The 14,292-nt window shown below is 53.7% G+C and overlaps 5 annotated features.

Moving 5' to 3' along the window:
* Positions 4,658 to 4,777: an enhancer, noted in NCBI's record as "active region_9124". NCBI's record gives its function as "activates an Ori minimal core promoter by ATAC-STARR-seq in GM12878 lymphoblastoid cells {active_cell/tissue: GM12878}" and the evidence as "EXISTENCE:reporter gene assay evidence [ECO:0000049][PMID:35858748]".
* Positions 4,819 to 5,808: an enhancer, noted in NCBI's record as "H3K27ac-H3K4me1 hESC enhancer chr14:105281576-105282565 (GRCh37/hg19 assembly coordinates)". NCBI's record gives its function as "activates a minimal SCP1, AML or CMV promoter by ChIP-STARR-seq in primed H9 embryonic stem cells {active_cell/tissue: H9 hESC(primed)}" and the evidence as "EXISTENCE:reporter gene assay evidence [ECO:0000049][PMID:30033119]".
* Positions 4,819 to 5,835: a biological region, named in NCBI's record as "Sharpr-MPRA regulatory region 3976".
* Positions 4,878 to 5,307: a silencer, noted in NCBI's record as "silent region_6203". NCBI's record gives its function as "represses an Ori minimal core promoter by ATAC-STARR-seq in GM12878 lymphoblastoid cells {active_cell/tissue: GM12878}" and the evidence as "EXISTENCE:reporter gene assay evidence [ECO:0000049][PMID:35858748]".
* Positions 5,541 to 5,835: an enhancer, noted in NCBI's record as "tiled region #3976; HepG2 Activating non-DNase unmatched - State 1:Tss". NCBI's record gives its function as "activates a minimal TATA promoter and a strong SV40 promoter by Sharpr-MPRA in HepG2 cells {active_cell/tissue: HepG2}" and the evidence as "EXISTENCE:reporter gene assay evidence [ECO:0000049][PMID:27701403]".

Below are 14,292 nucleotides of genomic sequence, written 5' to 3'. Positions count from 1 at the left end.
AGAAATTCTTTCTCTTAGGGAAGGACAGTCACCGAGGACAGGACGCAGAGTGCAAACGTGGGCTGTGCCATGAACCTCCATCGGCCGCCCAGTGCTGTGCTCTGCCTGGGACATCACCCCCTTCCCGCCAGTTCCTGCAGGAAGCCGCCAGTGGGAGCTGCTGGCAGGAGACTGAAAGGCAGGAGGCGGCTAGGGCCTTGCTCGCCACCCCTCCCTGCTCAGGCGCTGCCTCTGCAGCCAAACGTGCCCCGCAGCGCCCACGGGGTGCTCGCTCTGCTGGGATCCAGGCAGAGGCACATGAAGGTTTGCAGGGCCCAACAGGCACATTCTTTAAGCTCCTCTTTAAGGTACAAGGATACACACACACACACACACACACACACACACACACAATGTATATTTTAATATAGAAATATGTTTTCTTTGTTTACTTTTGGCTAAATTGTGTCCCTGCCCCCACCAACTCATATGTTGAAGTCCTAACCCCTATCCCTCAAAATGTGACTGTATTTCGAGATGGAGTCTTTAAATAAGGTCACTAGAGTGTGAGGTCCCTAATCCCATCTGACGGATACCCTCATAAGAGATCAGGACACACACAGGGAAGACAACGTGAAGACACAGGGAGAAGGCAGCGTCTACAAGCCAAGGAGGGGGCCTCTGGAGAACCCAAGCCTGCTGACACCCCTTTTCAGACTTCCGGCCGCCAGAACTGTGAGAAATAAAGTTCCATTGTCGGCCGGCCATGGTGGCTCACGCCTGTAATCCCAGCACTTTGGGAGGCCGAGGCAGGTGGATCACTTGAGGTCAGGAGTTCAAGACCAGCCTGGCCAACATAGTGAAAAAAATTTGTATTTTTGTATTTTGGGTCTCTACCAAAAATACAAAAACTAGCCGAGCATGGTGGTGGGCACCTGTAGTCCCAGCTACTGGGGAGGGTGAGGTGGGAGAATCACTTGAACCCAGGAGACAGAGGTTGCAGTGAGCCGAGATCGCACCCCTGCATTCCAGCCTGGGCAACAGAGTAAGACCTTGCCTCAAAAAAAGAAAAAAATCCATTGTTTAAGCTGCCCAGGCTGTAGTATTTTGTTTTGGCAGCCCTGGCAGACTGTAGATAGATGGACAGATGGTATGGAGAGAAATGTAGAGATATGTGTATTTATTTAAGGTATGTAAATTATGTCACATGACTCTGCAAGTACATTTCTGGGGTCCCTCCCAGGGCCCTGAGAAAGGGCGTGAAGGTCAGGGTCCCTGACTCTCAAACCTCACCAGCCTCACGGCCCTACATGGCTGGCCTCCGGGCACCTCGGCCCCTGGTCTACTCCCTGACCCCTGCCTGCACCTCTAAATGAGTTCGAAGGAGAGAGCTCCAGTTTCTGCAGGCCCCACCCAGGGCGTTCTCGCCCCAGGCCTGCCACCCTGCCTGCCTCCTTACTAGTTTGGTGCCTGCTGCTCTCATGGGCTCCCACATTCGGAAATACCCAAGGTGGTGGGCATCGTCTCCACGTTCATCTGGACAGCCCACCTTCGGGGACAATAAGCCCAGCCCCAAGGATCGCTCTGCTCCCAGGGAGACAGCAGGACTGTCTGCAGGGAATGTAGCTTGGCTGGCTCCCAGCTGGGGGGTGAGATGCCAGAGTCCTCACCTGCAAGCATTTCAAATGCACACCCTCGCTGCTTCAGGGGTGACAGGGGTGGGAATCACTGCATTTTGCCTATCAGGATATGTGCTCTGAATTCCCTCCCCTCTTGTAGGTAGGACAGGAGAGGGTATGACATGAGGCTGCCAGAGCTGTGTAGCTTATAGGACTCTCGCTCAGTCACCTGGGCTGGAATACAGGGGTGCAATCTTGGCTCACTGTAACCTCTGCCTCTGGTTCAAGTGATTCTCCTGCCTCAGCCTCCTGAGTAGCTGGGATCACAGGCATGTGCCACCACACCCGGCTGATTTTTGCATGTTTGGCTGAGATGGGGTTTCACCACGTTGGCCAGGCTGGTCTCAAACATCTGCCTTGGCCTCCCAAAGTGCTGGGATTATAGGCGTGAGCCACCGCGCCTGGCCAAGCTGTGTAGCTTCTGTCACTTCCTTGAAAGCCCAGGGGTAGAAGCCTGGGCCCTTGGTTGGGTCTCTCTTTGGAATCACTAAGCAAAACCCAACTGTGGGATCTGGTTGCTTGTCTACCCCCTCCCTCCCACTTGCCCAGACACTGTGGTCGGGGGCTGCGCTGGGGTTCCACTGCCGTAACAAAGGACCACAAATTGCATGCTACAAATGGCAGAAATGCATTCACACAGCTCTGGAGGCCGGATGGCAAGGTGCCACAGGGCTGCGCTTCCTCTGAAGGCTGAGAGGAGGCCCCTCCCTCGCTGCTCTCCTAGCAGCATCTGGTGTGGGGTCACAGTCCTGCTTTCCTCAGCTTGAAGCTGCAGCACTTCGAGCTCTGCCTCAGTTGTCACATGGTGGATGGTTAATTTTATGTCAACTTGACTGGGCAAGGGGGTGCCCAGATAGCTGGTAAATGTGATTTCTGGGTGTGTCTGTGAGGGCGTTTCTGGAAGAAGTTGGCACTTGAATTAGTATAGTAAACTGCGTACAGAAGACCCACCCACACCAGTGTGGGTGAGCACTGTCCAATCTGAGGGCCTGAAAAGGACAAAAAGGTGGAAGAAGAATTTGCTTCTGTTTGAGCTGGGATGGCCATCTTCTCCTGCCCTCGGGCCTTGGACTCAGACTAATGACACCATGGCTGTCTTCCTTCTCCAGCATGCAGGCGACAGACTGACAGATCATGGCACTGCTCAGCCATGTACGATGTACATAGAAGCCTACTGGGGAGCCTCTGAGAATTTTGCTTTCATAATAAAGAGATAAACATCTCTGTAACTATCATTTCCCCATTCTTACAGCCAGAACATGGTGTGATGTCTGGAGCTGTGGCAATCCTTTTGTGACCATGAGGGAAAGTCACAGAATTGCAAAGCCTGTCCCTGCAATTGCTGGCCCTTACAGCACTGGGCTGCTGAAGTAATGCCAGTCACATCTACCTCCAGGATTCCTGTTATGGGAGAAAAATAAATCCCTATTGGTTCAAATCACCACACTTGGAGTTTCTGCTGTGAAGCCAAAAGTGCTTCTGATACATTATCCATCTACGTATCCATCCATCCTATAGTTAACAAAGTTTTTATTTATTTATTTTTTAGAGATGGGGGCTCACAATGTTGCCCACCCTGGCTGGTCTCCAACTCCTGAGCTCAAGCAATCCTCCTGCCTCAGCCTCCCAAAGTGCTGGGATTATACATGTGAGCCACCACACCTGGCCTAGATTTTAAGCAAATGAGTGACATGGTTAAACTTGCTTTTTAGAAAGGATTGGAGGAGGCTGGTGTGGTAGCTCATGCCTGTAATCCCCTTTGGGAGGCCAGGGTGGGCGGATCACTTGAGGCCAGGAGTTCCAGACCAGTTTGACCAACATGGCAGAATTCCATCTCTACTAAAAATACAAGTGGCACTTGTAGTTACTTGGGAAGTACTACTTGTACTTGGGAAGCTGAGACATGAGAATCACTGGAACCCAGGAGGCGGAGATTGCAGTGAGCCGAGATCACGCCACTGCACTCCAGCCTGGGCAACAGAGTGAAACTCCATCTCAAAAGGAAAAAAAAAGCCTCTGATCCCAGCACTTTGGGAGGCTGAGGTGGGTGAATCACTTGAGGTTAGTAGTTCAAGACCAGCCTGGCCAACATGGTGAAACCCTGTCTCTACTAAAATTACAAAAATTAGCCGGGTGTGGTGGCAGGCGCCTGTAATCCCAGCTACTCGAGAGGCTGATGCAGAATTGCTTGAACCCGAGAGGTGGAGGTTGCAGTGAGCCGGGATCATGCCACTGCACTCCAGCCTGGGCAAGAGTGAGACTCCATCTAAAAAAAAAAAAATTAAGGATTGGAGGAAAGAATAGAGGAAACAGAGGGAACGCAGGTGAAGGAGCTTATTCCTGAGGTGTCAGCCTGTAGGAAGTTGTTAACTGTTAGCAGGATTAAAGAAATTAAAGTGTTGAGGGATTCTCAGATTTGCACCAAACCAAGCTCTCTTAGCCCTCTAGAGTAGGGATATTTTTCCCCCAGACCTGACGTATCTTCACCTTTTGAGACGGGGTCGGGATTCTCCCTCATCCCACTGCTGCTTCTAAACCATTCTTCGGCCACCCTGGAGAGAAATCCGTGTTCCACCCGGGCATCATGCCGCTGGTCGCCTCACCTGGGCTGAGGGCCAGGGTCAGTCCAGCCAGCAGACAAAACCAAGAAGGTCTTCCCCAAAGCTGGGCCCGGTCAGGCAGGTGGAGGGCTCCTCTCCACAGAGGCTTGGCAGAGCACAGTGGGAAGTGCAAACTCCCTTGGGCAATGCCGAGGGTCGGGCAGGAGTATCCCCTGGCCCGTAACCAAGAAGCGAGCAAGGGGAACGCGTCGATGGTCACCCGCAGGGATGGAGAAGCAGCGCCACAGGGCAGCAGCGGGGCTCAAAAGGGGGCGTGAGGCCTCAAGAAGCTCGCAGACCTCCGGGAGGGATGCGGCCCGCGCCTCCCTGCAGTTCCCCTCTGCCCGGCCCTGCGGCCGCGTGGGGTGGCCTCGGCGTCCGGGAGAACAGCCCCTCTGGGCCGACTCCGTGTTCACGCCTCAGCGTCAGTGACGGCGCCAGGCACTAGCAAGGACACAGGGAGGTTCGCGTGGGGCTCGGGATCACCGCCGAATGCGCGTATCGCACCAAGTAACGCGCAGCGGACAGCCCCGCGACACAAAGGCGAGGAAATCGCTGGCAGCGCCCGTCCTCGCGGCCGCGCTTTTGGGAGGGGAGAGCGACAACACGGAAGTCGGCACGCGATGACTCCCGCGCAGCGCCGGCGCTAGAGCCCGGCCCAGGCGGAACCCCGCTCCGCCACTGCTTGCGTTTCCTTGGGGGGCGCTTCCGGCAGCGGCGCCACTCGCGGCCCCACGTGACTGGCGAGCGCCGGGAGGGGGTGCGCAGGCGCGCCCATCCGCTCCCGCCCGCCGGGTCTCCTCAGTCTGGCGGTCAGGGGGCCCGTCTGTCTACTCTGCGGACAGGTCACGTTCGGCAGCAGGCCTTTGTCGCGTCCGTCCGGCCTTGGCATCAGCTCGGAGAAGGCGGGTGGGAGGAGCAGGCCGCGATGGGAAGGAGGGGAGGCCCAGGAGCCGGCGCCGGCCCTTAAGAGCCGGACAAGGAGCCCGCCCGCCGCCACGAGCAGGCGCCCGGGACAGGGAAGCCCCGGCGCGCTGGGGCCTTGGGGAGGCGAGGTAGGAGGCAGGCGGCCGGGGCTGCGCGGGAGCAGGGATGGCCCAGGGCTGTGGCGTGGGAGTTGCGCAGGCGGGATTCGAAGAGGGCTCCCGGCGGGAGGCGTCAGTCCGGGGGCGTACGCGAGCGATGGCTGTGACCGCTGAGGGAGAGGACCAGGCTTCCTACAGCGCCGCCGCTCCCGGAGGAGACAGCCGTGGCCCGAAGCCCCAGGAGCGCCGGCAGGTGGACGGGAGGAGCGAGACTCTGTCTCAAAAAACATAAAATAAAATCATAAAATAAAATAACACGTTATGATGCTCCATTTGGTCCAGCCGCTTAGCGTGGCTGCTGTCGAATGCAGACACAGCAAGGAAAGGGAAACACCTCCGCACGTGGGGGAATTTATATGTGACATTTGCTCCCAAGTCAGCAGGGGTAATAAGTGACGTTGCTTGGCAGGGCGCGGTGGCTCACGCCTGTAATTCCAGCACTTTGGGAGGCCGAGGCGGGTGGATCACCTGAGGTCAGGAGTTCGAGACCAGCCTGGCCAACATGGTGAAACCCCGTCTCTACTAAAAATATAAAAATTAGCCGGTGTGGTGTTGGGCGCCTGTAATCCCAGCTACTCAGGAGGCTGAGGCAAGAGAATTGCCTGAACCCATGAAACGAGGTTGCAGTGAGCCGATACGGTGCCACTGCACTCCAGCCTGGGCGACAGAGTGACTCCACCTCAAGAAAAAAAAAAAAAAGTTCCTATATGATATGGAAAGATGTCTACAATCTCCTTTTTTTTTTTTTTTTTTTGACGGAGTCTCACTCTGTTGCCCAGGCTGGAGTCCAACGGCGTGATCTCGGCTCACTGCAACCTCCACCTCCCAGCTGCAAGCGATTATCCTGCCTCCGCCTCCCGAGTAGCTGGGACTACAGGCGCTGCCACCATGCCCGGCTAATTTTTCTATTTTTTAGTAGAGACGGGATTTTGCCATGTTGGCCAGTCTGGTCTCGAACTCCTGACCTCAGGTGATCTGCCTGCCTTGGCCTCCCAAAGTGCTGGGATTACAGGTGTGAGCCATCGCACCTGGCCTACAATCTATTTTTAAGTGAAAAAAGCAAGGTGCAGAACAACATACATGGTATGCTGCTTTTTGGGTGGTAATGGGGGAAAATATTTGCTTATAGTTGCGAAAAGAAACACTGGAGAATACACAAGAAACTAATAGTGGTTCCTTGAAGGCAGGGAAATGGAGTGGGGATGGAGGTACAGGGTAGGCAGGGAACACAGGCCACAGGGAGTCTCAATGTCTATTTTTTTAATGACAAAGGATAAAGATTAAAACAATACTTAGGAAAAAAGGAAAGAGAAAGTACACTGAAGTGGCCAGTCATGTGAGAACGCTGACCGGAAAGGGCAGAAAAGTGGAAGGAGGTAAGGGATCAAGGAAGCAATTTTGAATTTTATTTTAAGCTAATCCATTGAATTGATAATTAGTGATTGGTAACATGGTTCAAAAGTTTAAAAGTTACCCTCTCTCGTTTTCCAGCCACCGAGTTCCCTCCCCACAGGCAACCAAACCTCTTTTGATCTGTCCAGAAGTATTTCGTACATGTGAAAACGCATACTGTGCTCATGTGCATCCAGTTTCCCTTCTCTTTACACCACGGGAGGACAGGGTACAATCCTACTCCCTATTCTTCACACTCTTTTATACTCAGGACCCCGTCTAAACCTAATGACCTCCCAAAGGCTGCAAAAGAGTGCCTTCGTTTTTGTGACTATAGTATTCTGCTCAATGGATGGACCATGATTTATTAGCTGGCCCCCTGCCCATGGACATTGAGCCTTTTCCAGTGCTTTGCTGTACTGAACAATACTCCAACAAATACCCTTATACCGAGATCGTATTGCTTATGTGCAAGTTTATGGGATAGAATTTCCAGAACTGCTGGGTCAAAACACTTATGTAATTATAATGTGGACAGCAGTGATCAAATTGCCATCTGAATTAGGTGTGTGCCCATTTATACCTTACCAGTAATGTAGTAGAGGGTGCTGTTGTCCCATAGCTCCCCCAGTAATGTATGTTTCAAAGTTATGGACTGCATGTTCACGTCCCCCCAAAATTCACAGGAAATCTTACTATCCAATGCGATGATATTTGGAGACGGGACCTTTGGGAGGTCGTTGGGTTCAGGTGAGGTCATGAGGGTGGAGGCACTGATGTTCTTACGGGAAAAGGAGGAGACTGGAGCTTGCTCTCTTTGCAATGTGAGGGCACAACAAGAGGGCTGTCCCCACCAGACACCAAAGCTGCTGGCACCCCTATCTTGGACATGCCATCCTTCCGAACTGGGAGACACATTTCTGTTGTTTAAGCCACCCAGTCTGGTATTTTGTAACAGCACCATGAACTAAGACACAAAGTGTTTATCTTTGCCAGTCTGATACCGAATGGTATCTATATTTTTTCTTATGAACATTTTATTAAGGAAAGTTTTTTGTTGTTTGTTTTTTTTTTTTTTTTTTTTTTTTTTTTGAGACGGAGTCTCGCTCTGTCGCCCAGGCTGGAGTGCAGTGGCGCGATCTCAGCTCACTGCAAGCTCCACCTCCCGGGTTCACGCCATTCTCCTGCCTCAGCCTCCTAAGTAGCTGGGACTACAGGCGCCCACCACCACGCCTGGCTAATTTTTTTGTATTTTTAGTAGAGACGGGGTTTCACCATGTTAACCAGGATGGTCTCGATCTCCTGACCTCGTGATGCGCCCACTTCAGCCTCTCAAAGTGCGGGGATTACAGGCATGAACCACCGCGTCCAGCCTACTAATTTTTGTATTTTTAGTAGAGATGGAGTTTCACCTTCTTGGTCAGGCTGGTCTTGTACTCCTGACCTCGTGATCCTCCCGCCTCGGCCTCTCAAAGTGCTGGAGTTACAGGTGTGAGCCACTGTGCCCGGCCTCTTTTTTCTTTTTTTTTGAGATGGAGCGTCACTGTGTCACCCAGGCTGGAGTGCAGCGGCACGATCTCGGCTCACTGCAACCTCCACCTCCCAGGTTCAGGCGATTCTCCTGCCTCAACCTCCCGAGTAGGTGGGATTATAGGCACATGCCCAGCTAATTTTTGTATTTTCAGTAGAGGCGGGGTTTCGCCATTTTGGCCAGCCTGATCTCAAACCCCTGACCTCAGGTGATCTGCTCACCTCGGCCTCCCAAAGTGCTGGGATTACAGGCATGGCCACGCCTGGCCAAAATGCATGAATCTTAACTGTAAATTCTGAAAATGGCTGCACCTGTGTAGCCGCACCCCCCCCCCCAATAAAAATCTAAGCGTATCCATCACCCTAGAAGTTCCTTTGTGTCCCTCCCTCCCAGTCCCTGCTCATGATCTTGCCCTGAGGCAGCTGCTGGTCCCCTCTTTTTCTGCCGTGGATGAGTTCTGCCTCTGCGAGGACTCACCAGTGGGCAATCTTGCAGCAGGCTTCTCTCCATCAGCTCAGGGAGCTTCATCAACATCGGGTGCACCGCCAGCTCCTCTCTTTCATCCACGCATAAGATCCTGTTGTGCGAATATTCTGCAGTTGGTCTATCTGTTCTCCTGTGGGTGGGCACAGGGGTTGGAGAAAGCTCCTATGAGCATCAGAGGACACATCCTTTGTGGTTACACCTTTCACTTCTTTTCTGGATGACACCTGGGGGTAGAATCTTCAGGTCAAGTGGCAGGTGCGTGTTAACACGTTAACAGTGCTTGGTGTTGTCAGTCTTCAGAGCTGGCGTGTAGTGGTATCTTGTTGTGGGACTTTTTTGTTTGTCTTTTGTTTTGTGACAAGGTCTCTCTCTGTTACCCAGGCTGGAGTGCAGTGGCACAATCATGGCTCGCTGTATCCTTGATCCCCCAGGCTCAAGCAGTCTTCCCACTTCAGCCTCCCGAGTAGCTGGGACCATCGGTATGCACCACCACACCCAGCTAATTTTTTACTTTTTGTGGAGACAGGGTCTCACTATGTTGGCCAGGCTGGTCTTGAACTCCTGGGCTCAAGCAGTCCTCCCACCTGGGCCTCCCAAAGTGTTGGGATTATAGGCATGAGCCACCATGATTGGCCTTGGTGTGTTTTGTTTTGTGTTTTTGTTGTTTTCAAGACACTGTCTCGCTCTGTCATTCAGGCTGGAGTGCTGTGGCATGATCCCAGCTCACTGCAACCTCCACCTCCCAGGTTCAAGCGATTCTTCTGCCTCAGCCTCCCGAGTAGCTGGGATTACAGGTGCACGCCACCACGCCCGACTAATTTTTGTATTTTTAGTAGAGACGGTGTTGGTCGGGCTGGTCTCAAACTCCTGATCACAGGTGGTCTGTCCACCTCGGCCTCCTGAAGTGCGGGATTACAGGTGTGAGCCACCACGCCCAGCCCCTCGGTGGGTTTTGAGTCGCATTTCCCTGTGACTGATGATGTTGAGCACTTTTTCAGGTGTTTATTAGCCATTTGTGTAACTTCCTTTGTGCAAAGTCTATCAGATCTGCTGCCACAAACAGAGACCTCACCCGCCGCAGTTTGTTTTCAAGGGAAGCCTCCTCTCCAGCTTCCGCCTGTCTCCACCCGCTCTCCAGTGCCTTCCAGGAGTTTTTTTAACATGTCTATTTTTGTTCAGAATCTATCTTTGTTATCCATGGGGGATCAGTCCACCCAGGCTGCTCCACCATTGCTCCCTGTGGGGCGAGTTTACTTGTTTAAATTATATTTATTATAGATGGTGTGGAGATGCTTGCCCTTCCTTTTCTGTGACCTGTGCAGTGAAGGGAATGTGTGGGTTCATCCAGGTTGGGTCTTGGGAAGTAGTTTGATAGAAAAGGAGGGGAGGGCTCGAGGCAGGGGCTTGGGGTCAATCTAACGACGGCCAAGGCACTGAGTCGAGAGGCAGGCAGGAGAGGGCAGGAGACAGACTCGTGAAGGTGGCAAGGTCAAGAATTGGAAAACCACGAAATGAAGGAATTACTGTATAGAGAAATTACCTGCTTGATTAGGTAAACAGGAAAATAGCAGCTTGTGTCATGAGTGAGGATGCCTGAAGCTCACATTCCAGGGGAGCCGCGGCCTCTGGAGATGACCTGGGAAAGGCCACAGACCCAGGAGTGGGGGGCTCGCGTGGGATGGGAGATGAAGGAGATGGGGTGCCCAAAGCTGCAGCCTTGAGAAAATATGGGGGAGACAGGGGTGGGTCGAGAGCCCCGCAGAGAGGAGGAGGGTGTGAGCCTCTGGAGAGCTGGGCCTGGGTAAGCGGGAAGGGGTCAGGGATGCCCCCACCTTCCTTCCCGACCTGTTGGTGGTGCAGGCGGACTTCTGCAGGGGAGCAGTGCATGGGACAGCAGCGGGGGCAGCTGAGTGTCCAGGAGAACAAGCACAAAGGGGACCTGGACTGTCCCACACCCCGGTCTGCTCTGGGGATGCAGGGGTGGGGTGACAGCCAGGGAAGGGCGCTACTGGGAGGGCCTAGGCAATGGAGTTACCTGGGTTTTCTTTGTGGGTGAGGCTGTACCCCCTGACTGTACCCAAGTGTCCGTGGGTGTACCTGGAATATTGTGGGACAAAAATGGAAACATCAACAAATTTTACTGATGAGAAAACTGCAGTGGCTTGCCCAGAACTGGCAGAGCCAGGATGGGATCTGGGCCTCTGGCTCCAGCCCAGCGTCCTTGGGCCTCCATGTTCTTCTGAAACATTCAGGGTTCTGGACTGAATTTTGTCCCCAGCCAAATTCGTACATTGAGGTCCTAACTACCAGTCCCTCAGAATGTGCCTGTATTTGGAGATAGAGCCTTTAAAGAGGTGATGAAGGTAAAATGAGGTCATTAGGGTAGGCCTTAATCCCATAGGACTTGTGTCCTTATAAGAAGAGGAGATTAGGGCCAGGCACCGTGGCTCACGCCTGTCATCCCAACACTCTGGGAGGCCGAGGCGGGTGGATCACCTGAGGCCGGAAGTTCGAGACCAGCCTGACCAACATGGTGAAACCCCGTCTCTACTGAAAATACAAAATTAGCTGGGCATGGTAGTGGGTGCCGTAATCTCAGCTACTTGGGAGGCTGAGGCAGGAGAATCGCTCGAACCTGGGAGATGGAGGTTGCGATGAGCCAAGATCGCACCATTGCACTCCAGCCTGGACAACAAGAGCGAAACTCCGTCTCAAAAAAAAAAAAAAAAAAGAAGAAGAAGAGGAGATTAGGACACACACACAGGGAAGACCACGTGAGGCTGCAGAGAGAAGACCGCCCTTTACAAGCTGAGGAGATAGGACTCAGGAAGAAGCAACGCTGCAGATACCTTGAAACCTGTGAGACAATAAGTGTCTGTTGTTCAAGCCACCCTGTCTCTGTCTGTGGTACCTTATTATGACAGCCAGAGCCAACTACTACAGCCAATAAAGAAACAAAAAACATACCCCAGCGTCTGCTTCAGAAAGCAAAGAAAGGGATGTCTTGGGCTGGGCGCGGTGGCTCACGCCTGTAATCCCAGCACTTTGGGAGGCCGAGGAGGGCAGATCACGAGGTCAGGAGATTGAGACCATCCTGGTTAACACAGTGAAACTCCATCCCTACTAAAAATACAGAAAATTAGCCAGCTGTGGTGGCAGGCACCTGTAGTCCCAGCTACTCGGGAGGCTGAGGCAGGAGAATGGCGTGAACCTGGGAGGTGGAGCTTGCAGTGAGCCGAGATGGCGCCACTGCACTCCAGCCTGGGTAACAGAATGAGACTCCGTCTCAAAAAAAAAAAAAAAAAAAAAGAAAGAAAGAAAGGGATGTCTTGACTTCAGACTCAGACTTCTGCTAAAATTAGTGAAAACAAAACCAGGAGGGTTCCACAGAGGGAGGTGAGTCCCTGGCTCTCCCCCAGATCCACTGCCACCTCCGATACCAGGGCTATAGCTGGGCCAGCAGCAGCCTTGGTGCTCAATCATTCCTGCCTGGCAGGGGACAGTCCTCCGTGGCCTGGGACCTTTCTGAACGGCCACCCTCTCCGCCTCAGCCACAGGCTCTGGCACAGGCTCCAGAGGCAGCATCTTCTGCTGCTGCCAGCCCGTGTTGGGAGTGGCCTAGCCCTCCAGGCTGCTGTCCCTGGACTCCTCACTGCTGTGGTGTACCCCACCATCCTCCACAACAGCTGGAGGTGAAGGGGTGTTGAGGGAAAGTGGGAGGGGGAGGGGAGCAAGAGGCTGCCCAGAGCAGGGGAACAGAGCCAGGCCAGGGCCGGATTGCAAAGGTCCACAGACCAGCAATGCCCAAGCACACCTGGCGCCCCAGGGAGGCTGGGGGTGCTCTGTACGGCCTTGTTATCCTGGGGAGTCTGGGGGTGCTGTGTACGGCCTTGTTATCCTGGGGAGTCTGGGGGTGCTGTGTACGGCCTTGTTATCCTGGGGAGTCTGGGGGTGCTCTGTACGGCCTTGTTATCCTGGGGAGTCTGGGGGTGCTCTGTACGGCCTTGTTATCCTGGGGAGTCTGGGGGTGCTCTGTACGGCCTTGTTATCCTGGGGAGTCTGGGGGTGCTCTGTACGGCCTTGTTATCCTGGGGAGTCTGGGGGTGCTCTGTACGGCCTTGTTATCCTGGGGAGTCTGGGGGTGCTCTGTACGGCCTTGTTATCCTGGGGAGTCTGGGGGTGCTCTGTACGGCCTTGTTATCCTGGGGAGTCTGGGGGTGCTGTGTACGGCCTTGTTATCCTGGGGAGTCTGGGGGTGCTCTGTACGGCCTTGTTATCCTGGGGAGTCTGGGGGTGCTCTGTACGGCCTTGTTATCCTGGGGAGTCTGGGGGTGCTCTGTACGGCCTTGTTATCCTGGGGAGTCTGGGGGTGCTCTGTACGGCCTTGTTATCCTGGGGAGTCTGGGGGTGCTCTGTACGGCCTTGTTATCCTGGGGAGTCTGGGGGTGCTCTGTACGGCCTTGTTATCCTGGGGAGTCTGGGGGTGCTCTGTACGGCCTTGTTATCCTGGGGAGTCTGGGGGTGCTCTGTACGGCCTTGTTATCCTGGGGAGTCTGGGGGTGCTCTGTACGGCCTTGTTATCCTGGGGAGTCTGGGGGTGCTCTGTACGGCCTTGTTATCCTGGGGAGTCTGGGGGTGCTCTGTACGGCCTTGTTATCCTGGGGAGTCTGGGGGTGCTCTGTACGGCCTTGTTATCCTGGGGAGTCTGGGGGTGCTCTGTACGGCCTTGTTGTCAAAGGCTCCTCACCCTTGGTTCCCTTCTGACCTGGCAATGGCCCCAGAGGGAGGCAGGCAGGTGTTACATTTGTCAGCAGCAACACTGCCAACACTTAGTGTGGATGTTACCCTATTCACCCATCAACGGTTGTCTGCCATTCCCATTTCACAGGCGAGAATGCTGAGGCTGAAGAAAGGGAGTGACATGGTTATGAGCACAGGACAGGTGGCTGACGGGACAGGCACCGGTGGCCCTGTGTGCCATGGAATTCCGAATTCCTGGGACTTGCAGGGGCGGCCTTCCTTCTGTGCTGTGTGTTCAGAGGTGCCAGTGGGTGTGCGTGCAGAGAGGTACAGACCTACTTTCACAGAGATGCAGACTTTTCTTCTTCTGTATATGGAAGGGTAGTGGCGAGAGGGAGGAGGTGCAGGGAAACAGAAAATACCCTGGAACTAGCAGGTTCCATGGCTCATGCCTAGAATCCTAGCTACTCAGGAGGCTGAGTGGGGAGGGTCACTTGAGTCCAGGAGTTCAAGACCAGCCTGGGCGACACAAGACCATGTCTCAAAAAATAAAAATAAAAATCCTGGAACTTGAAGGCTACAGAAAAGGGAAGTGCAGATACTGAAGCTCCACTGAGTGAGGAGGGCAGATATTACCCCTTTCTCCAACCACTTCTCAGCTTGAACATAATCAAGCCCTACTTCCTCAGCCTGGAAGCCGACCTAGAGTTGGCTCAGTTTCTTTAGGGATCTTCCATAAAGGTGGTGGTGGTGGTGAAGGTGGAGGTGATGGTGATGGTGAAGATGGAGGTAGAGATGAA

Source organism: Homo sapiens, chromosome 14 (genome assembly GCF_000001405.40).
Source record: "Homo sapiens chromosome 14, GRCh38.p14 Primary Assembly".
Taxonomy (NCBI): Eukaryota; Metazoa; Chordata; class Mammalia; order Primates; family Hominidae; genus Homo; species Homo sapiens.
This window is presented reverse-complemented; position numbering and strand designations above follow the sequence as displayed.